Source organism: Homo sapiens, chromosome 18 (assembly GCF_000001405.40).
Source record: "Homo sapiens chromosome 18, GRCh38.p14 Primary Assembly".
NCBI lineage: Eukaryota > Metazoa > Chordata > Mammalia > Primates > Hominidae > Homo > Homo sapiens.
The window spans coordinates 45,998,019-46,022,344 of NC_000018.10; the positions used below are offsets into that span (position 1 = coordinate 45,998,019).

At 40.6% G+C, this 24,326-nt stretch overlaps 1 protein-coding gene across 1 annotated transcript in view, besides 1 other annotated feature; it reads right to left on the minus strand.

The window, feature by feature from the left end:
• PSTPIP2 (proline-serine-threonine phosphatase interacting protein 2) overlaps nucleotides 1-24,326 on the minus strand; it is an 88,725-nt gene that overhangs the window by 14,483 nt on the left and 49,916 nt on the right. The window contains exons 4-8 of the mRNA NM_024430.4: nucleotides 17,885-17,919; nucleotides 13,163-13,269; nucleotides 7,451-7,513; nucleotides 1,418-1,516; nucleotides 776-821 (exon numbers count right to left, since the gene is read on the minus strand). Coding sequence (NP_077748.3) covers nucleotides 776-821; nucleotides 1,418-1,516; nucleotides 7,451-7,513; nucleotides 13,163-13,269; nucleotides 17,885-17,919 — 350 coding nt within the window. The remainder of the gene's footprint in view (nucleotides 1-775; nucleotides 822-1,417; nucleotides 1,517-7,450; nucleotides 7,514-13,162; nucleotides 13,270-17,884; nucleotides 17,920-24,326) is intronic.
• Nucleotides 15,810-15,859: an enhancer, noted in NCBI's record as "active region_13264". NCBI's record gives its function as "activates an Ori minimal core promoter by ATAC-STARR-seq in GM12878 lymphoblastoid cells {active_cell/tissue: GM12878}" and the evidence as "EXISTENCE:reporter gene assay evidence [ECO:0000049][PMID:35858748]".

A 24,326-nucleotide genomic window follows, 5' to 3' on the forward strand; every position in this document is an offset into this window, starting at 1 on the left:
GAGGGTATCACTTTCTTTTTAAACATTGGACCTAACATTGAGAAAGAAAGGTTCTAAGGAAGAAGTGAAAGCTGATAAGAAACCTCAGCCAGGGTTTTGTTTGTGTAATTCCACCTCAGTATTTCCCATCGCTTTTCATTTTCAAAATTGTCTGATGAAGGATGCAGAGAAGAGAACTACCTTGAGCCCTAAAGGGGCACCAAGTTACTTTAGTTTCAAATGTAGAGATTAAGATGTACATAACCACCACAGTCATGAGGGATATTTCCTGCAGGATATTCTGGGAATTAGAAGCTTTTGCAAATGCCTGGTTTGGGTCTTAGATTTCAGTGATAACAAGGCCTTGCAGCTTGGCTGTTTCACAGCAGATAAGAGCTACCGGGGCTGAAATGGTCTTTTAGATAGATGCCCCAATACATCAGAGGAAGCACCTGATTGCAAAGCCGCTACCACATGACTCCACCATCTCACTCCCATGTAAGGCAGCAAGATCTAAGCAGACAGAAGCCAGAAACAGTGGCCTCATAGCCTCCTCCCACCTTCCGGGGTTCTAATATACCCTCCCTTCCTCTCTCCTCTTCTTTCCTTTCCTCCCTCCCTTCCTTACTCTCTCCCTTCCTTCCTCCCTTTTTCCCTTCAGATATCTCACTAATCCTGCTGAATATCCATATATTCTCTCTTTAAGGTATATAAAACTCCCTTTCTCAGGGACACATTTAGGATAACGTAAACCCCACCAGCAACCCTCCCCCATCCGTAGGAACTGCCCCCTCACCTGAGTCCTCTACTGCGGTCTTTGAAGTTGCCAGTTTCACAAAAAGCTGTGAAAACAAACAAACAAACAAAAAAAGAGCAAGCATTGGGAATGCTGGACGAGGCTTCCACAGGCAAAACAGATTGAAAAGCAGTAACTATGAAGAGACCAGGTCTAGTGCAAGTCCTGTGTACATTTCCCTCATGAGCAAATCATTCAACGTGCCCTGCAATCTTATCAATCTTGGAAAATATCCATAAAGCATCTTGCCCAGTGTCTTCCTAAAGACACACCCAGCCCTCTGGTTGCAGAAATCTTGTATCTAGATTTTACAAAGTTAAATTTGTAATCCACCCAAGCAAAAGGCAGCCTGACTACAAAGAATACATGAACTGAGTCTTTAAGAAAAATGACAACAACTGGGAAATCCCTCCAACCTCTTATCACCCCATCTCCCTCCCTCATAGCCATGCTTCTGTCGCTCTTCCCCTAACCCCCAAATATGTGGCAGTGGTTTTTCAGGTTCAGAAGACCCCCAATACATGAAGGAAGATATTTCCAGGGGTTTAGGATACAGGTTCATTTCTTATGAAGATTCATAATTGGCTTTAGCCTGACATAGGTCAGTCTCAGATTTTTCGGGTTGTTAGCCCTCCTGGGTACCTTTTCTTGTTGCTTCGGGTTCACCAGGTTGGCACTCCGGCTGACGGCCTGTTCTGCCTCATCTTTGTCCCGGCATTTCTGCTCATAGTTCTTCTTTGCCTTTGTCATTATGAACAAAGAGAACCAAAACAAATGAACAGAGTGTAACCATGAAATGCAGCCCCCTTGGCCCAGGAAGTCCAGCATGGACAGGGCCGTCTGATTAGTGCTCTGATTGTCACTAAGCCATGGGCTCCCAGAGGGCAGATGCTTTTTCTTATCAGTCTTTGAAAGCTCACTCTCTCTCTCTAGCCCTTTTTCAAATTATGTAATAGTGGCAACCTGATCAAGGAAGTAATAGCTCCTATTTGGCAACATAAAGTACATGAGCTTTAAAAATGGACTGAAACGAAAGATGGAATTTGAAATAGACAAAATTAAGGCCAGGCACCATGGCTCACGCCTGTAATCCCAACACTCTGAGAGGCTTAAGTGGGTGGATTGCTTGAGCCCAGAAGTTCAAGACAAGCCTGGGCAAAATGAATGAAACCCCATCTCTACAAAAAACACAAAACTTAGCTAGGCATGGTGGCACACACCTGTGGTCCCAGCTACTTGGGAGGCTGAGCTGGGAGGGTCGCTTGTGCCCAGGAGTTCAAGGCTGCAGTGAGCTATGATCATGCCACTGCACTCCAGCCTGGGCGAAAGGGTGAGACCCTGTCTCAAAATAACAATAACAACAACAACAACAATTAAAATAGTTACGTAACTCTAAAACGTGTGGTCTAAAATTTATGAAACATTCATAATCCTAAGAATGCCTGTACAAACACTTGGTTATTTGGCACCAACTCACTCTAATTCTAACGAGGCCTCAATATTCACCACAGCATGTGAACAGCCGGCAGGTTACCAATGCCATCATTTATTTTGCTTAAAGATAGTCATGTTCCTTATTTATTTATTTATTGAGACAGAGTCTAGCTTTGTCACACAAGCAGGAGTGCAGTAGTGCAATCTCGGCTCACTGCAGCCTCTGACTCCTGGGTTCAAGCGATTCTCCTGCCTCAGTCTCCCTAGTAGCTGGGACTACAGGCAAGCAAACATCATGCCCCGCTGATTTTTGTGTTTTCAGTAGAGACAGGGTTTCACTATGTTGGCCAGGCTGGTCTCGAACTCCTGACCTCAGGTGATCCACCCGCCTCGGCCTCCCAAAGTGCTGGGATTACAGGCATGAGCCACTGCACCCAGCCAGTGTTCTTTTTTTATTTAAAGAATTCTGTTTTATGTAGTTTAAACGTAGGCCATGGTCTATCGTGTGCTACCATTGCCACCAGTATTATGGAAACAGATCACAAACTATAATCATTAGTGAATCATAAAAATAATTTTCTGTTTCAACTGTGAAAGCAAAGACTTTTTTAAACACCAAAGCTGTTTTATCTTAATTCCAGGAAGTGGGAAGAAAACCAACAAAGCTGTGAATCAGTTAGCTAATAAATAAAAATGATGAGAAAGAATGGTTGACTAAGATAAATAAAGAAAATACGGCACATATACACAATGGAACACTACTCCACTATAAAAATAATGAAATCCTGTCATCAGTGGCAACATGGATAAGCCTGAAGGACATTATGTTAAGTGAAATAAACCCTTTGATCTACTGATTTCCTTTCCTTTGGATAAATACCTGGTAGTGGGACTGTTAGATCATATAGTAAGTCTATTTGTAGTTTTTTGAGAAATCTCCATACTGTTCTCCATAGTGGCTGTACTAGTTTACATTCCCACCAACAGTGTGTAAGAGTTCCTTTTTCTTTAAAGCCTTGTCAGCATTTGTTATTTTTTGTCTTTTTGATAACAGCCATCCTAACTGGGGTGAGATGGTATCTCATTGTGGTTTTAAGTTGTAGTTCTCTGATGATTAGTGATGTTGAGCATTAAAAAATATATTTGTTTGCCATTTGTATGTCTTCTTTTGAGAAATGTCTACTCAGATCCGTTGCCCATTTTTTTAACCAATTGTTTGTTTTTTTTCTTTGCTGTTGAGTTGTTTGAGTTCCTTGTGTATTTTGGATATTAGTCTCTTGTCAGATGAATAATTTGCATATTTTCTCCCATTGTAACCACTGTAAGTGTTCAATTCAGTGGTATTAGATACATTTATAAAGTTACATAACCATCACCACCATCCATCTCCGTAACTCTTTTTATCTTATAAAACTGAAATTCTATGCCCGTTAAACAATAACATCTCAACTTCTTCTTTCCCCAGCCCTTAGCAACCACCATTCTATGTTCTGTCTCCCTTTCATTATTTTTTTTTAATTTAAAAAAATTTTTGTGGGTACATAGTAGGTTTATATACTTATGGGGTATATGAGATGTTTTGATGCAGGCATGCAATGCAAAATAAGCACATCATGGAGAATGGGGCATCCATCCCCTCAAGCATTTATTCTTTGAGTTACAAACAATCCAATTACATTCTTTAAGTTATTTAAAAATATATAATTAAGTGATTATTGACTATAATCACCATATCATGCTATCATCCCCTTCAGTTTTAGAAGATATTTTCACTGGATATGGGGTTATGTGTTAACAGTTCTTTTCTTTCAGCATTTGCGATATGTTGTGCCACTTCCTCATAGTCTCCATGGTTTCTAATAGGAAATCTGCTGTCATTGGTTTTCCCTTTTAGGTTTTCCCTTTTAGTGAAGGTGTCATTTCTCTCTCATTTAGTTTTCAGAAGTTCGATTATATGTCTTGGTATGGATTTCTTTGGGTTTATCTTGGTTACAGTTTAATCAGCCTCTGGGATATATAGATTTATGTCTTTTGCTAAATTTGGAAATTTTTCAGCCATTATTTCTTCAAATAATGACATAAAGCTGGGCTTTTTCAGCCCACCTTCCTTCTCCTCACCTTTTAGTATCACAGAGACATTAGTGTTAGATCTTTTCTTATAGTGCAAAAAGTCCCTGAGGCTCTGTTAATTTTTTTCAGCTTATTTTCTCTCTGTTGTTCATGTCTGGTAATTTATATTATTCTGTCTTCCAGTTAACCAATTCTTTCTTCTGTCTCTTCCATTCTCTTCTTAAGCCCACATATTGGGTTTTCTAAAATTTTGATTATTATATTTTTCAGTTCTAAAATTTCCATTTGGTTCATCTTTATATCTTCTATTTCTTTGCTGAGCTTTTCTATTTCTTTGCCAGTCCTTCCTTTGTTTCTTTCATTTGTTTCAAGTGTGAATCAGGTGTAGTGGCACATGCCTGTAATTCCAGCTACTCAGGAGGCTGAGGTAGGAGAATCACTTGAGCCCAGGAATTCAAGGCCAGCCTGGGCAACATTGTGAGACCCCCCCATCTCAAAAAAAGTGTCTTTGTAATTGCTTGCTGAATATTTTGATAGTGGATGCTGTAAAATCTTCGTCACATAATTCCAACATCTCTGTTATCTAGATCTTGGCAGCTATTGATTGTCTTTCTTTTCATGGAGTTTCGTATCTTTCTGGTATGAAGAGTGATATTTGATTGATTTGGGGGAATTTTTGGTATTATGTTACAAGACTCTGGATTTTATTTAAGGCTTCTGTTTTAGCTAGCTTCCTCAGGACACCACTCCAGCAGGGGAAGGTGAGGCATCATCTCATTACTGTCATGTGAGTGTGAAAGTCCAGGTTTCCCCTCCTTGGTCTCCACTGACACCACAGAGTGTGTGTGACCCAGTTACTACTGGAAAGTGGTTAAAGTTCTCACTCTCCACTAGACCTCCTTAGACACCATCCCAGGAGGGAGAGGGTGTACATCATTATTTCCCGGTGCAGGTGGAAGTCAGGGTTCCCCACATAGCTCCCAATAACACTGTGTAGAGGAGGCTCTGTTACCTCCTGGTGGGAGTGAAAGTCCTGGTCCCCTATTTGTTCTCTGTTGCCACCTTGGCAGGGGAGTTGGGTGCTCTCTACAGCCTGGTGTGGTGGAAGTTTAGACTCTCCACTTGGCCTTTGCTGATGTGTGGAGGTGGGTCCCCAGGTTTTTTACGTGGTGTTTGGCTGCAGTAGAATGGTTATTTTCTAAAGTTTCTGTCCTGCTAGGCTGCCCCTTTTCTGGTCTTTTGGTTAGAGAGAACAGGTTTTTCTTGGAGCTTTTTATTTATTTTTTTTATTTTTTTAATTTTTGGTCTATGACCATTGGCATTTCTGGGATGCCTGCTTCTTTGGCACTCAGTCTGTGATAAATGAGGCAAAAAGAAAGCCCAGGGAACCCTTGTCAGGTTGTTCTTTGAGTCCAAGGTCACTAGCCAGTGTGCCTTCTTCTCTCCCCCTTTCAGAGTTTTTTTTTTTTTTTTTGAGACAGAGTTTCACTCTTGTTGCCCAGGCTGGAGTATGCAATAGTGCGATCTCGGCTCACCGCAACCTCCACCTCCTGGGTTCAAGCGATTCTCCTGCCTCAACTTCCCAAGTAGCTGGGATTACAGGTGCACACCACCACACCCAGCTAATTTTTTTTTTTTTTGTATTTTTAGTAGAGTCGCGGTTTTGCCATGTTGGCCAGGCTGGTCTCGAACTCCTGACCTCAGGTGATCCACCTGCCTCGGCCTCCCGAAGTGCTGGGATTACAGGTGTGAGCCACTATACCCAGCCAGAAAGTTATATTTTGATAAGCCTTTCTCTTTAATTATAAAAAATCTTGCCCCAGATTGTTTAAAATATAAAAGGTCTGGGAAAAATCATCTATCAACTAACACTATTTCTGTATTACACTGACATCATTCCCTATTTATCAATTGTTTTTGAGGGATTTCTGCATCAAGGAGAAAAAGAATGCAGCAGAACAGATTGCATATGCTATCAACACTGGTGACACTTCCCTATTACATCCTACTCGTAGAATATCATGATGATACTTCGGTGTCAAGATGGAGTCATATATGTTCTAATAACAGAGTTTGTTGTATCCAGAGTCAACAGATACATAAAAGCTAGAGAGAGATTTCTAGCAACTTGTCCAATCTCTGTCTTGCCAACATTTTTTAAATAAATTACTTAAAGGAAAAGTTTTTATAATTTTCAGATATCTTAAAACAGAAAGGGATCACTCAATAAAATAGGTAAGCAATCAAGATTCAAAATAGTAACAGGGTAAAATTGCAAATTCTATAAGATAAAGGGTATTGTACACTATATATGTTTTTGTATCTTTGCCTAAAATATTTGAACTGACTTGCTATATTTTCTCGGGTTACCAGAAAGATAACCCTGTTGCATTTCCACTATCTAGTGTCACTTTCAATCTTTCCAAGGCCTTAAAAAAAGAAAAACCTTATACACTGTTGGTGGGAGTATAAATTGGTTCAACCATTGTGGAAAGCAGTATGGAGATTCCTCAAAGAACTAAAAGCAGAACTACCATTTGACCCAGCAATCCCATTACTGGGTATACACCCAGAGGAATATAAAGCATTCTACCCTAAAGACACATGCACGTGAATGTTCATTGCAGCACTGTTCATAATAGCAAAGACACGGAATCAACCTAAATGCCAATCAATGACAGACTGGATAAAGAATATGTGGTACATATACACCATGGAATACTATGCAACCATAAAAAAGAATGAAATCATGTCTTTTGAGGAAACATGGATAGAACTGGAGGCTATCATCCTTAGCAAACTAATGCAGGAACAGAAAACCAAATACCACATGTTCTCACTTATAAGTGGGAGCTAAATGATAAGAACTTATGAATATAAAGAAGGAAATAACAGACACTGGGGTCTAATTGAGAGGGAGGGTGAGAGGAGGGAGAGGAGCAGAAAAGATAACTATTGGGTACTGAACTTAATCTCTGGGTAATGTAATAATATGTACAACAACAACAAAAAAGAAAACCCAAAGCATTTAAGGTTGTTTTCCCTAAAACACTGCACTAATAAATAATAACATTTTTGAAATGTTATTTGAGTAGGAATATGTTCATACACAGCACAGGATTTCAGAAAATGTCACCATTATCCCAAAAAAGACAATAAAATGTGACTCACATCCATGGTTTTCTTGAATTGTAAGCTCTTTTGTTTATGGATAGCATCCATTATGAGCTCTGTCTGTAAAGAGATCATAAACACTCTTAATAAAAACACAAATCATTATTAATAAAAACAGAAATCATTATCAATACCAGCTTATCTTGAGGGTTAAGTGTTCAAAATGATTACCCACATTTCACAATCTTCAGAGAAAAGAGACCAAACAATTTGCCTAAGCTCTTATTCCTAGCTAATAACGGGGCCCATCTTTGAACTTGTGCAGGCAAACACCAAAGCCTGAACTCTCAGACACAGTGGAGACTCACTGATCACCTTAGAGCAGTCTCTTCAGTAAAATCTGGAATCAAGGAACTTTGGTTTCAAAAAGGAATTTTAAAACTTTTGTTAAAGTGCCATTTATATTTTAAAAGAGGTCTTTATTCTATAAGTATACATCAGCACAGTTAAATTCGGTACTTGTAAACATTCATTTCTGCAGCCCATCAGTGACACATCCATGACCATCAGGGTGCCCGGGCAGTATGAAGGAAAAAAGAATTTGTAAGACAACTAAAAGAAGCTGTTCTGTTACTCTTTTATTCCATTTTTTTATTTTTTAAGACAGAGTCTCACTCTGTCACCCAGGCTGGAGTGCAGTGGCATGATCTCAGCTGACTACAACCTCTGCCTCCTGGGTTCAAGCAATTCTCGTGCCTCAGCCTCCAGAGTAGCTGGGATTACAAGCCTGCACCACCACACCTGGCTAATTTTTGCACTTTTAGTAGAGATGGGGTTTCACCTTGTTGGCCAGGCTGGTCTCAAACTCCTGACCTCAGGTGATCCACCCAGCTCGGCCTCCCAAAGTGCTGGGATTACAGGTATGAGCCACCATGCCCAGCCCTGGTACTTTTTTTTTTTTTTTTTTTTTTTTTTTCTGAGACAGAGTTTGCTCTTAATGCCCAGGCTAGAGTGCAGTGGTGCAATCTCAGCTCACTGCAACCTCCGCCTTCTGGTTTCAAGCGAGTCTCCTGCCTCTCAGCCTCCCAAGTCACTGGGATTGCAGGCACCCGCCACCACGCCCAGCTAATTTTTTTGTATTTTGAGTAGAGACAGGGTTTCACCATGTTGGTCAGGCTGGTCTCGAACTGCTGACCTCATGATCCACCCACCTCGGCCTCCCAAAGTGCTGGGATTACAGTCATGAGCCACCGCGCCCGGCCTCCCTGTTACTTTTTATACCCCATCCAAGTGAGGTAAATGCCTCGCTTGGGAGTAAATTCTTTATTGTGGCAGTGCTGTTAATACTTGTTAGCAAAAATAATGGTGTTAATAATAAAGATGTACCTCCCAGACATAATTATAGTAGCTTCCATTTATCAAGCACTTACGCGCTAAGCAGTTTTCATGCATCACAACTATGTGAGTACTATCACTCCCATTTTCCTGATGGTACTGAAGTTGATTAACATACCAAAGTAACACAGTCAGCAAGTAATAGAATTGAAATTTGAACCCAGTAGCCCTGACTCCAGTGCCCTTTTGTTTCTCATTATTACCCAAATTGTCATTATCCTTATGATAGCTCTATAAAACCAAACTGTAAACAACGAAAAGATGCGAAAATTCAAAATGAGCAATGACACTAACGCTGTGCAAAAATGATATAACATTGAAAATAAAATTCAAATGTAGTTCCTTCCAGACAGAGAAAACTTAAGTTTTTGTCTGCTACCATAACACATAAACATTGTTAGAAGAATTTTGAAGATATCCGGAAGGAATATTGGGAATGGTCTCACTTCAAATATGAGCTTTGTGGAGTACATGAAATTCCCTTGGAGGAGCTTCAAAGGAGCCCTCAGAAAACCCAGCAGTCATCTTCCAGCCCATGTGAAAGTCAGGTGCCAGGTGCTGGCCATTCGCCTGCTAATGGCGAAGGCAGCAGAGACATAGAGAATAGACAAGGTTCCAAGAGGAGCCCAGCATGGAAAGACACACGGCAGATCCCTGCCACTGCAGTCAGGAACCTGCGGTTCACATGCATGACTGTGTCCCTCTGCCAGGAGGAGAAGCTGGGTTTATTTATTTAATAATGGTTCCCAATTTTCCCAGGCTACACAGAGCAGATCAGTTAGCAACGTTGGTCTATTCCAAAGTCTTTTCTAGTCTGAATATACATATGGCCACTCTTATAGTTGGGAGCTGCTACTATATTATATTTTGTGGCCCCAGCTAGGCCACCTTACCTGTAAGATCTATATAACACTTGCTTCAAACACCTCTCAGGTGGCTGCAACATTCCACCACCAGCCAACCCTGTTCACCTCCTATCATTCCTGTCTCTGCCTTCAAGGATTCCTGGGCTTTGAAACTTGGTAGGAATCTAGAAAGCATCCATCCACCTCCCTAACTTGACAGGCGTGGACCCTGGGGCCCAAGAGGTGAGACACTTTGCTCAAGGTCACTCGTGAGTTAGTGGCAGAGACATCAGGTCCAGCTCTGTCTGCTACACTACCTGGATTTACGTGTCCTTGTGTCCATATTCACTTATGGGGTGACATTTGTGGTGACCCCAGTGAGCCAAAGGTGCCCTTTCAGAGCTCCTCAGGGCAGTGTCTCTTCTGAGACTCAGACTTTCTGCTCAGACCAAATCCAATGGAAATGTGATTGGGTTTTATTACTGATAACACAAAGGAATGCAGAAACACAACTATCTCTGCCATAGGGTGGGGAAAGGCAAGAGAGGGAGAAAGGAAGAGGAAACTTGCAAGTGACCCCTATAACCCTGAGAGAGACTATTGGAATAGCTGCTTCATGGCCCGTTTTTCTCTCTACTCACACTCAAGCTGTATTCTATTTTTTATTTTTATTTTTTGTTTTTTTGAGACAGAGTCTCACTCTGTTGCCCAGGCTGGAGTGCAGTGGCGTGATCTCTGCCCACCCCCCACCCCGGTTTCAAGCAATTCTCCTGCCTCAGCTTCCCGAGTAACTGGGATTACAGGCATGAGTGACCACACCTGGCTAATTTTCGTATTTTTAGTAGAGACGGGGTTTTGCCATGTTGGCCAGGCTGGTTTCAAACTCCTGACCTCAGGTGATGCGCCCACCTCGGCAAAGTGCTGGGATTAGAGTCGTGAGCCACCTTGCCCAGCCTTAAGCTGTATTCTAAAAACTGGAAGCATCGCCTCTGTAACCACGGAGGTTCCTTTCTTTGGAGACCGCTCTCCACACAGGCAGCACGAAACTCTCCCATGACCATCCCAATCTTAGCTGAGGTGATAAAACCATGTGGGTGCCAGAGTACAGTGTCTGATCATGTGTTGTCATTGTCATGCTACAGACAGTTATGGACTGGGGAAGAAACCTCATGACCCTCAAGTGTCAATACCGCTGAGAATGGCTCCTAAGACCCCTCCCTACCCTGCCAACCCCCTGGGGTGAGTATCTCACTCCTCTATACAGCCTTTCACCCCACTGGTTTTAGCATCAATGTCCTTCTTTTGGGAGGCCTTCCCAAGCCTCCAGATGACATTACGTGTTCCCACTGTGTGTTCAGATAGCGTCTTCCTCCCCCCCATCATGTAAGGCACATCACGCTTTACCATGATTCCTGGGTCACATCCGTCTATCTGGCCCTGCTCTCATGCTTAGTGAGAGAAGGATGACCATGTACGTCTTGGTCACCACCTTCATAAAACATTAGCTGCGAGGGACCATACCATGAACTTCTGGCCAGCCCTTCCAGGACCTGCACCTCTTGTGCCCTCATTTATTAAAAGAAACCAACTGATGGTTTTCCTTAAGTGGAAATGGCTTAATTTCCAAGAAGTGAAAGACCAAAGCGTGTGTCTGACCAGTGAAAAATGAGAAGTTAGCATTGGCACATTTTCTTCCAAAGTTTTATGGTGTAAAAAAAAAAAAAAAAAAAAAAAAAAAAACCTAGCTAAATACGGAAGTGGTAAAACCCAGAGTTCATTTTGACACAAGTAATTACAATTTTATTAATAAAATGTGGACTTCTCAAAGAAAGCTTTGAAGGTATTATCCCACTGCAGATGGCACACAGAATAAAGGGAACTTAGAGGGTGGCAGGGGACTGAGCACAGGTGACTTACACTATTGCTTAACACAGTTCAGAGCAGAGTTCAGTTCTAGCTTAAAATAATTTGGTCTGTGTAGCTTATTAGGATGAGGAAGTTTCAGAAACCTTGCAAAATTAACAAACTCTCCCTGAAAGGACTAGGGCTACCAAGGAGGGCACTTAAAACATGCAAGGAAATGATTCTCCTCTCCTCTGAGGGGAAGTCATGCGTGCCTAGACTCTGGTTGTCTAAGGCATTTTTGATTCTGAAAAATTGTAATTCCCCTAGAGGGGTGAGCAGTCCTGGCTATGTCAGCCAAAAGGGTCTGACCATCCAATGGGTTTAATACACATGCTATTTCTGCTCTGAAAAAAGGCTTCAGGTCAGAGGCACTCCTCAAACCTGATACATCAAGCTTGAGAGAGTATGTCAAAGCACCTGACAGGGTGTTCCCATGTTCATTTCTACCCTTCCTTCCTGGTAAAAGGAACAGCACAAGTACAGGTGTAAGATGGAAGAGGCAGTAGTGTGCTAAAAGCAGCTGGTGAAACAGCAATAGGGGTAAAGCAGGAAGGCTCTTAGGATGCTGCTGCCCACCATAGAGGCCAGTGGCCGCCAGGGAAGCTGGACCTAGACTCCAACCCAGAACCACAGGCAAAGTTGCTGAGACTGAGGTCAAGGTAGAATCAGCCTTAACAGCTGGCTGCTTATCAGATATGCTCATTGCAGACAGCAAGCTCAGGCCCAGGATAAGGAAAGGTTTCCAAAGGGACCCCCGGGCAGGGTGAAAGAGGTCACCAAAAGTCACGCAGAGCTGTGCCGGGAGACCTGGTTAGACATCTTTGGGTGCCAGATAGAGAAGAGCTTGTCTCCCATGTGAGGCCCAGGTTCCAGTCTTGAAAACCAGACACAGAAAAAAATTCTCTAAGGACCCTACATGGCTGCAGGATCAGCCTGAATATCCAGTCTTTCAGGAACAAAATAGAAGAGAACAGAGTTGTGGCTGGTCTAGTCTAACTAACACTTTGATATAAACCTGGACTTCTTTTCTTGATCCCAAATATTTGTCAGTTTTATTAACTCTTGTTCACCCTTGTCTTCTTCCATGTAGTTGGTCAGAGTAAATCTCATGAATGAAAAAGAGCCTATGTATAGCTGCTTTGAAGACAAGAGTACTCGGAGTTCCCAGGGCTTCAGTTTTCCCATTTGTACAGTAGAGTAGTTGGACTACATTATGGTCTTCAGGGGGAGCGGGAGTCTCTTCCACTACTTCTCCCTTCCCCTATTGCCTTGTCCAGGATGAGGAGTGTGGTTTTGGGAGCCGTCCAGCTGGGATGTGCTAGAGTCTATTGAATTCAGAGGGTTCCCCTTTCCATTCATAGTCTGAATAGCGGCAGCAGACCTGAAGAGGAATGCAAGCTGGACCTCTGAATCCTATGTGAACTTTAAAAAAGGACAACTGGCCTGGGGTGTAGAAATGCATATACCCATCTGGACTGAGTCCCCATGTGGGGACTCCAGTAAGTAATTTCTCAGGTCATGATTACATGATGGTGGGAGCTGAGCTGAGGAGTATAATGAACAAACAAGCCTGCGGTTTTCTATAGGAGGAAAGGAAACACCTTAACACGTATGCAAATCCAACCTTTTTTCGTTGTAGTTTTTGCTTTTCCCTGAATTCTTCCATCTTCCTGGCCTCTTCTCTTAAACTCTGTGCAAGCTGAATGTGACATTGTGCCACATTGTCTACTTCTGCAAAAAAGAATTAAAAAAAAAATCAAGGTCTACATATGTCTGAATTAAAATATATAAAATCATACAAAATAAATATGTATATACAAAATACTGGAGTAAGTGGTAAAATCAACATCACTTCATTTGGTCACCAACATGTATTGAACCTCTCCATATGTCCAGCATAGCCCTGGCCACCAGGATCAAAGCTAGAAGATCTTTAGCTTAGCCTCCTACCACTACTGTTACTAACCTAGGGTGCCCAGGACTAGGGAGAAAAGCAGCCAAAGTTCCATTTCATGAAGGTTACATCCTAGGAGACATTACCAAAGCCAGCACAATTTCAAATTTGACTCTTCATTCTCTGTAGATGACCTCTAAGTTTCCTTCCATCTCTAATGTCTCATGAGCCTAAATGTTTATAAGAAAGGTCATATGCCAAAATTTTGGCTACCAATAGTTATCTCTGGGTAGAAAGATTATTGCTGATTTTTCCCCTTATTTTTTAAGATCTATACAAGGAGTATGGCCTGCCTTTGTAAAAGAAAAGAATAAATACTTGTTCTAAGAAAACAAATCAAAGCATGGCATTAAAGCTAAAAAGTCTGACAGATAAAGCTAGAAAGACTGAAAGATGGTCAGATTGATCTAAGAAAAAAATTTAAACTTGTGGGTATCAAAACCTTGAAGAAGGTTAAAAGATACATGACAAACTGGAAACATATTTGCAATTTATATAACAAAGAGCAATTAGCTATATCAAAAGAGCTTCCACAAATCAAAAGAAAAATACATATTCCAGTATTTAAAAACCAGTTAAAGAACATGAAATTCAAAAAAGAGTGGCTAAATGGCCAATAAACATTTGGAAATACACCCAGCCTTAAAACTACTGAAAAAAATGCAAAACTTTAAAATGTAAACCTTTCAGTTGGGCAAAATTTTTAAAGCACAAATATTCTTGATATTGGCAAGCATGGGACAAAACAGCACTGTTGGGGAAAAAAAAAACAGCACAACCTTTCTGGAGGAAATTTGGCATTTTTTAGAAACGAAATTTTTTAAATGTAAAAGAACGAGGCAGATCTATATGAATTGAAACGAAAAGCTGTCTATGATATATTGTTAAGTAAAACAAACTATAGAGAGAGATGTATAGTATAACAGCATAAAAACTCATTCACGTCTATATGCATATGTGCATCTACAATTAAAAAAGAGTTGGCCAGGCGCAGTGGCTCACGCCTGTAATCCCAGCACTTTGGGAGGCTGAGGTGGGTGTATCACGAGGTCAAGTGATTGAGACCATTCTGGCAACATGGTGAAACCCCGTCTCTACTAAAAATACAAAAAATTAGCCGGGCATGGTGGTGGGCACCTGTAGTCCCAGCTACTCAGGAAGCTGAGGCAGGAGAATGGCATGAACCCAAGAGGTGGAGTTTGCAGTGAGCCGAGATTGTGCCACTGCACTTCAGCCTGGCAACAGAGCGAGACTCCATCTCAAAAAAAGAGAGAGAGAGTTGTAAATGCACAGAGAAAGGTCTGGAAATATATACCAAACTACTAGCATGATTTTAAAATGATTGTTTTCATTTTCAAAACAATGTAAAAACATATCTGGCCCCATCCCAGAAATTGTGGACCACTGCCATGGTATAATACTACTTATGTATATGAATAAACACATATATACTATACACATATATGTTTAATTGCATTAAACTGTCTGGAGACAATCACTGAGAAGAAAATTCCAGTGCTTACTATCTTCTTTACAGTTAGTTGTCTCATTTTAATTTTTAAGATAAATATATATATTATTTTAATAAGAAAATAAAACTTATTTTTTTAGAAAAAAAGAAAACAAGTAAAGCCAAAAAAATGATTTAGGGGACCCAGCCTACGCTGAGGTTTGACTTTGGGCCATGCCATACTTGGCCTCACAGTGCATATAAGGAACGTGAAAAGTTACTGTCTCTACTCTGAGAAATGTATTCATTGATGAGTTACGGAGGGAAGAAGACACCTTCTATGTAAAAGTTAATATGAATATTTAGCTAACATTTACAAACGTCTAGAATTACTCAACTAGCTACAGAAACACTTTAAGCAAGCATTAAACATACTATGCTGTGTTAAAATCCTTAGCTTGGAAGGGCCAGGTATTCTGAAAAACAGAAAGCTTTAGAGGCAGGTTCTGAGTAACAGGCCTGAAGAATATTAGAACTGGATAGGACCCCTTGAAAACCAAAGTGCCAGTGCCTCACCCTGGATCGCCCAACTTCTGCTTGTCATCACATTAGAATAATAGGAGCTAAATAAAAATCTGTTGGCTGAATTCCAAGTTGCAGTTATAACCAAAGGCCACAAAGTGGAAATGAGAACTGAGAAATTAAGAAAGGATGCTGAGGGCACTATGACTTATGTCTTCCATTTCCCCTCCAGACTCATATCAATAAATAATAATTTCTCATACCAAGAAAAGCAAAGATGACCAACACAGGAAGAAAATGACTCCTTAGCCTCAAAAAGATGAAGGGAAATAGAACTTCACCCCAACAGAGATGAACTCTGACAACTGTGACATTGGTATTTCCAAAGACTTTCTATTTCCTTTCTAAATTAGCCTTTACCATTCTCAAGAAGTCTGATAAAATTAGAATACCCGATTCAAACCAAGAAAATAAATCCAAACAGGAGGGAACTACCTCCCACTGGGTTCTCCTCTTAAGAGGCTGAAGGAGAGGAGTAAAGAAGGGATCTTTTTTTTTTTTAAACAGTCTTACTCTGTCGCCCACGCTGGGGTGCAGTGGCAAGATCTCTGCTCACTACTACCTCTACTTCCCAGGTTCAAGTGATTCTCGTGCCTCAGCCTCTGGAGTAGCTGGGACTACAGGCACATGCCAACATGCCTGGCTAACTTTTGTATTTTAGTCGAGATGGAGTTTTACCATGTTGGCCAGACTAGTCTTGAACTCCTGACCTCAGGTAACCTGCCCGCCTTGGCCTCCCAAAGCGTTAGGATTACAGGTGTGAGCCACCGCACAGGCCAAAAGGGATCATTTCTAGGACATAGCATCCTGACCCTGGGAAGAAAAGAATAAATAAATAAGAATTCTTAAGGAAGAAACAGGATGTGGTTCTAAAAAGACAGATCTCAATGGCTGAGCGCAGCGTCTCACACCTGTAATCTCAGCACTTTGGGAGGCCAAGGCAGGAAGATCACTTGAGCCCAGGAATTCAAGACCAGTTTGGGCAACATAGTGACACCCCATCTCTATGAGAAGTAAAAAATTAGCCAGACGTAGTGGTGCATGCCTGTGGGCCCAGCTACTCAGAAGGCTGAGCCTGGAGGATCGCTTAACCCTGGGAGTGTGAGGCTGCAGTGAGCTGTGACTGTGCAGCACTCCAGCTTGGGTGACAGAGTGATGCCCTGACTTTAAAAAAAATAAAAATAAACAGATATGAAACTTCCTTAGGCAATCAGCCTGTAAGATCATGAGTTCAGCTGCAAATATTTTGAATTTAAGGTGCCTTTGAAACACCCAAGAAGAAATACTAAGTAGGCAACAGGATGTAAATTCTGGTCCTTAGAGAGTTCTGGACTGAAAATATGGATATGTACATTCTTCATGTAAAAGTGATAGCTGGTGTCAGGGATGAGGATGTTTTTCTAGGCAGACTGAGAAGGGCTAGGACCAAGCTCTGAGGACCCGCAATATGGAAAGGGACAGAGAAGTAGCCAGAGAAGCAGGAAGAATCCAAGGGAGTCAGAGGGATGCAGGTTTCCAGAAGAAAGAAATGCACCACAGTGCTGAATGCTGTTGAAGAGTCAAGCTAGAAGAGGCCCAAAATTGTCCCCTAAACTTAGTGACCCAAAGGGCTGGTGTCCTTGGAGAGAGCAGTTCCAGGTGAGTGGTGGGACTACAGGCAGATTAGAGTAAGAGGTGAGGGAATCATGACAATATTTCCTTCGATGCTTACTGTAATTAACTTTATTCTGGATACAAATGTTTGGTGATCTGGGAGAAATGGCAAGACACTCACAACAGGGTCCCAAAGTCTGAAGCCCTGCAGGGGTGGCTCTGGGAGAAGAAAACCAGACTGAGCATAAGAACATACCAGGGGTTAGGTTGGTAGACAGTCTGGCTGAGGCAGGTGGGGGTGTGGAGGAGCACTTGGATGACAGTGTCTCCGAGTTAGACCTAAGAAGTATAGACGATTCTCTGAGGCAACCATTCTCCCAGCATGGTCCCTGGACCAGAGGCCTCAGCATCACTTGGGAACACGAGAGACATGCAGACTCCCAGGCCCCACTCTAGACTTCCTGAATCAGAAACTCTGGGGATGGGTCTCAGGAATCTGTGTCAATAACAAGCCCTCCAGGTGATTCTGATGCTCATGCAAGTGTGAGAAGCATGGCTCTGAGTAAGGCAAACACACATCATGATGTGCAGGTGTGCAGGTTCTCCAGCTCATTTCGAGCCTGCAGAGCTTTGTCTCACCTTAGGAGTTGCTCTAATTTTTTTTCACCCACTATGAAACTGCTGTTCAAATTAAAACACACCTTTGACGACAGACACAGGGCTTGTCAAGGGCAGTGAATACATTTTTTAAAAAAAAAATCACTTACGCTGCTTGAAGACTTCAAGGGCCCGCTTCAGGGTGCTAAAAAAAACAAGCACATATATAATTTCAGTTCTGGAAATTCTCTGCACAATCTTATTATAATGCCTTTGCATGCTTCTCTCTGCCCATATCTTAACTTAGAAACTACAGACCAATTTTTGCCCATGAGCTAGAGAGACAGCAAAAGACCAAGACTTCTTAAGTCCAGTTTCCTCAATCCCAGGCACAAGAAATTCTTCACTGTTCATTTGGGGAGAGCAACATGCCAAAACTCTTTGTGTTTCATTTTCTCCAATGATAGGATAGGAGTTATGATCCTTTTCTCATAAGAATACCAGTGATTCTTTAAAGTATGGCAAGGAGGCTGAGGCAGGAGAATCACTTGAACTTGTGAGGTGGAGGTTGCAGCAAGCCAAGATTGCACCACTGCACTCCAGCCTGCGCAACAGAGCAAAACTCCATCTCAAAATAAATAAATAAAGTATGGCAATTCAAAATATGAATACAAGGCAACAAAGGAAGGGTTCAAACCTAGTCCTGACTGCCTCCTTTTTCACTCATTTACATTCATTTAGTCAATAATCATATATTTATTGACCATAAACCATGGGCCAGGCATTGTGTCAGATGTTGGTTAATCAGTCCTACAAGACAGACCTTATCCCAGACCTCAGAGTCTAATGGAGGAGACAGACATTAAACAAATCGTATCCATTTTTCTATTGCTGCATGACAAACTTAGCAGCATAAAACAACACACATTTATTATCTCACAGTTCTGTGGATTGCCAGTCTGAATATGGTTTAGCTGGATCCTGTGCTTGGAGCATCACAGGCTGCAATCAAGGTATTGCCCATGCTGCATTCTCATCTGGTGGCTTGACAGAGGAAGAATCTGCTTACTCAAGGTTAGTATTATACTTACCCTCAGCAATAAAATACCTAAGAATGCTTTAACTCCGATTATCCTTCCTAACAAGTTATAAGCTTTTAATGTCCAATATTTTGGCTCCATTTTGTTTTTTAAATCACCCAAGTTGACATTAATACCATTTATTTACAAACTGTTTAGATTTATCCATATGTGCCATATTCTTTGCTCACTATTCCGTCTTGCACCTCAGACCTTTTGTCCTGGATTATTTTCCTTCTTTCTGAAGTATATTTTTTAGAAGTTCCTTCATTGAACATCTGCTCATAGTTAACTCTAATTTTTTGTTGGATAACATCTTTATTTTTCCTTCTTTCTTGAAAAATAATTTCTCCAAGAAAAATAATTTTTCCAGGTTGATAATTATTTCCTCTCAGTATTTTAAAGACATAATTCTGCAGTCTCTGGCTTCATCATTGCTATTGAAAAAATCAGCTGTTGCTCTAATAAATGTTCCTTAGTGGGTAATCACTCTTTCTGGATGCCTTTAGGACTTTTTCATTAACTTGGATCTTACTCAGTTTGACTATTCTTGTGTACTTGTGAATTTCCTTTTAATTTATCATTCTTGGGATTAATTTTGCTTCCTGAATCAGAAGATTAATGGTTCCCATCAATTCTAGAAAATTGTCAAGCTCTGTTGCTTTAAAAATTTCTTCTCATTGTTTCTATTCTCTCTTCTGGAACTCAGCATTGACCTTCTCATCCTATTCTCCATGTCTCTTAATTTTTCTTTACTTTTAACCTCTGATTTTTTTTTCTGTGATGAATTCCAGATAATTTCTTTTCTTTTTTGAAATGTATTTATTTACTTGACAAATAAAAATTGTATATATTTATCATGTACAAAATGATGCTTTGAAATATGTACTTTGTGGAATGGTTCAATAGAGCAAAGTTACATATGTATTACCTCATGTACTTACACTTTTTGTGATGAGAACACTTAAAATCTACTCTCTTAGTGGTTTTCAAGAATATAATACATTATTATTACAGTCATTGTGTTGTACAATAGATCTCCTGAACTTATTCCTCCTAACCGAAATTTTGTATCCTTTGATCAACATTTCCCCAAACCTTGTCCCCAGCCTCTCCTGATTTTTTCATTTCTAATTTTTGAATTCCCTCTTCAATTATAGTTAATGTGTTACTTAATGCATCTCATCTACTGAATTTTTATTTTAAGTATTTTCTATTTTATTTATATAAGTTCTATCTGATTCCCTTTCAAAATTTCTTGAATACCTCTGAAAGTCACCCTACTCATCCTCTTAATTCACTCTTTTATTTTCTTTAAACATACTATACATACTTGTTTTTTAGATCTGTTAGTTCTAGTATCTACAGTCTTTGCATGTCTAATTCTGCTATTTATTGCTTCTGTTGACACCCAGGACCACTCTAAACTAAATTTTTAGCTTAGGATTCTTCAGACCACTCTGATGAAATTTGGTACTTTGGAGCTCCAAATCTGCAAGAGAACTGGCTTATAATTACAGATTCTCAGGAGATGCAACCACTCCCAACATTCATAATCAAGGCTTAGAGAGGTATCTTTCGTTGATATCTTTTTTTTTTTCCTGCAACAGAGTCTCACTCTGTCACCTACGCACCCAACTTCTGCCTCCTGGGTTCAAGCAATTCTCCTGCCTCAGCCTCCCGAGTAGCTGGGATTACAGGTGCCCACCACCACGCCCAGCTAATTTTTGTATTTTTAGTAGAGACAGGGTTTTTCCATGTTGACCAGGCTGGTCTCGAACTCCTGACCTCAAGTGAGCTGCCCGCCTTGGCCTCCCAAAGTGCTGGGATTTCAGGCATGACTTGATATCTTTTACTGAGATTTTTTTTCTCTGGTTTAGCCTTTCATTAAGACATTATTTATCTTTGGGTTTATAGGCTTTCTCTGGGATTTAAGAGATGAAGAAAAGCTTGAATCCAGAGAGCTAAGTGACCACTGAAAGACACCTTTGATTCGTCTTTGGCCTGGAACGATTTTCCTTACTTTCTTGACAGCATAGCCACGTATTTATTTTAAATTATTAAAATATATTTTAAACCAGCATTTTAAGTGTTTTACAATGGGAGGGCTTTCCCAATATCTAGTCTACCATGTTGTGGATATGGAAGACCATGACTCATTTTTCATTCCTTCTCTCAATCTCCCCCATCCTCTCCCTTATAATCAACTCCCCTTTGCCCATTATTTTAGTTCTCCCCCAACCTACACTTCCTTAAGCGAACTCCCTCGGAGGTGCCTTGGCCCTGGTAAATTTCTTGCTCACTGCTACTTTCATGGAGGCTGATCTCATGGAACTGTGGACTGTGCTCACTCAACCTACCCAAGCAGGGTTGGGATTTTGTACACTCACGGTCCCCTACCACAGCAGCATAAGATCATGCATCATTTTATATATATATGTATATATGGCAAATTCTACTATTTTAGAAATTAAAGGCCTTGTGTTTTCCAAGTGGCCCCTTCTTTCAGCTACCTTACTTTTCCCACTCTATTTATCTCAAAACAAAGGTTCTTATTTCTCTCTGCCTTTTCTCACATGAACATTTGCGCCAGTTATTACAAATACATTAAGCAGGACAGCCTAACTGCACATTCTCCATTCACTTTACCCATCTTATGATACAATTTTTCAAGGAGCACAATGCATTATAACAGTGTCCATATTGAGGCCGGGTGCAGTGGCTCACCCCTGTAATCCCAGCACGTTGCGAGGCCAAGGCGGGAGGATCATTTGAGGTCAGGAGTTCAAGACCAGCCAGGCCAACATGGTGTAACCCCTTCTCCACTAAAAATACAAAAATTACCCAGGTGTGGTGGCACGTGCCGGTAATCCCAGCTACTTGGGAAGCTGAAGCACAAGAATCATTTGAACCCCGGAAGCAGAGGTTGTAGTGAGCCACGATTGCACCACTGCACTCCAGCCTGGGCAACAGAGTGAGACTCCATCTCAAAAACAAAAATCAAAATAAAAAGTGTCCATATCCAAACAAATGCACCAATGGTCAACTGAAATTAATAAATCCACTCTTCAGTGATGCTTATTTGTCTTCAAAGAATAGGAAAAAAAGACGGGTATGATAGGAGATACAACTGGAATTCTCTCCCTATAGTGAGTCATAGATTGAAAGGCCAGCCTTACAGCTAAATTGTCTGTCCCAAGTTTAAAATTTTTCTCCCACCACAGTGACTGATTGAAGGGCCCCTAAAAGAGCAGCCCCATCTTCATTTCCTTTGTCATCAGCTTTGTTGTCTCCCATCATCACTTCATTGCCATTCCTCGTGTTCAGGACAAAATGACATTCCAGGAATGGAATCTGAACCATGGGAATGGTGGCGTAACAACATTCACCCTCTCTTCTCCACAGTGTTCTCCCTCACTGTGGAAAAGGAAACTATTCTACAACTCTTTTAAAAAGCACGTTGGCCTTAAGCCCTAACAGGTTCCATTATAGATTTGAGTCTCTCAGGGTAGCCAATGAGGTGGAAAATCCTAGCTAGTCCCTGGATAAGCAAAATCATCTGGCCGGGCGCGGTAGCTCACGCCTGTAATCCCAGCACTTTGGGAGGCTGAGGCAGGTGGATCACGAGGTCAGGAGTTCAAGACCAGCCTGGCCAACATGGTGAAACCCTGTCTCTACTAAATATACAAAAATTAGCCAGGTGGGGTGGCGAGTGCCTATAATCTCAGCTACTCAGGAGGCTGAAGCAGAGAACTGCTTGAACCCCGGAGGCAGAGGTTACAGTGAGCTGAGATCACGCCACTGCACTCCAGCCTGGGTGACAGAGTGAGACTCCATCTCAAAAAAAAAATCATCCACTGTCTTCTAGAACATCTTCCTAAAGATCATGTCATGGGGTGACAAAAACAAGTCACCTAAACAGTGTTTCACTTCAGCCTTGGAAACAATCCCAGTTCTCCTATCTTATGACTACTTCCTCTCTGAGGTATACTCTTAGAAGGAAAACTGACTGGCTTTTATCAAGCAACAGAAAAGAACTGTGTTACAGTCTGTCTGAATTTACCAAGTAACAAGGCAAACGTCAAATATGTAAGGATATAAGAAATATCATTTCGGGTCAGATTCATTCTGCTAAATATCTTTTGCAGGAAGTAGTAGAGAGAATACGGCCATTTTCCATCACATCACCTCAAAAGTTTTTGGGTATATTGCCAATGGCTTATGCTTTCTTTATAAATGAAAAAGTTTTTCTGGTCAACTGACCCACTTATCTTCCATAAAATGTTCTAAACCATTCTTTAATTACAGTGAAACTTGTCTAAGTTGATGTAGTTTGGACCCTTGGACGTGCAAATGTTTTACATATTCAAAAAATAAAACTAAGTCAAACAGGAAAAAGAAAACAATCCCTATAATTTAAAACAAACCGAAACAAATAAACGTAACTATAAGTAAAATTGGTTACATAATCACACAGAGCAAATAAATGTTTAAGTGACCTATTATGGTCTAAGATCAAAAGGAACTGAAAAGAAATGTTAAGCTCTATTTAGAAGTTTTATTGTTAGTAGCAATATTGATATTATTTTAAAACAATTTATATATATATGTGTATGTGTATATATATATAAAAAACCAAATAAAGCAAATAATTATACTAATATTGTTAGGTCTTCAATATAAGAGGAAAGAAATATAAACATAAAATTTTAAACATTATATAGAGCCCTATAAATTTAAATTAGAATTGTAAATATTAGTATGAACTCACACTTTTAAAATCCATTCCCTGCCAGGGCCTACATACGATGATGCCTCTGTGACAATGATCAACATTAAAACTGAGAATTTGGGCCAGAGACGGTGGCTCATGCCTGTAATCCCAGCACTTTGGGAGGCCAAGGCGGATGGATCACTTGAGGTCAGGAGTTCAAGACCAGCCTGACCAACGTGGTAAAACCCTGTCTCTACTAAAAATACAAAAAATTAGCCGGGCCACTGCACTCCAGCCTGGGCAACAAAGCGAGACTCTGTCTCAAAAAAAAAAAAAAAAAAAAAAAAAAAAGAACTGAAAATTTGGTTTCTAAATACGATTAATCATGAAAAGGAACAGAACCAAGTATTCTTGGAGAAATATTTGATTCCAGATTTAAATTTAAAGCATTTACATTGTTAATAATTGTAAAATCTTGGTGACAAATATGAGTAACTGTAAAATCTAGGTGATGGGTATATAGCTATTTATTATGTTCGTTTTTTTACTTTTCTGTGATTTTTAAATTTTCATTTAAAACATCAAAAATATATAATTAGCCAATGAAAAATAAATCTTCTTTGTACTAATTTCCTATGTCTGAGGGTAACAAGATTTTTAGGTTTATATAACTATTAATATTTTCAATATCTCCCAATGTTTTCCTCCTCAGTAGTTCAATACCTTTCTTTGTAGTCTAGGATGAGTGTGTGTGTATGTGTGTGTGTGTGTGTTGCATGTGTGCTTGTTTTAGAAGCAAGAGAAGACAAGAGGAAGGCC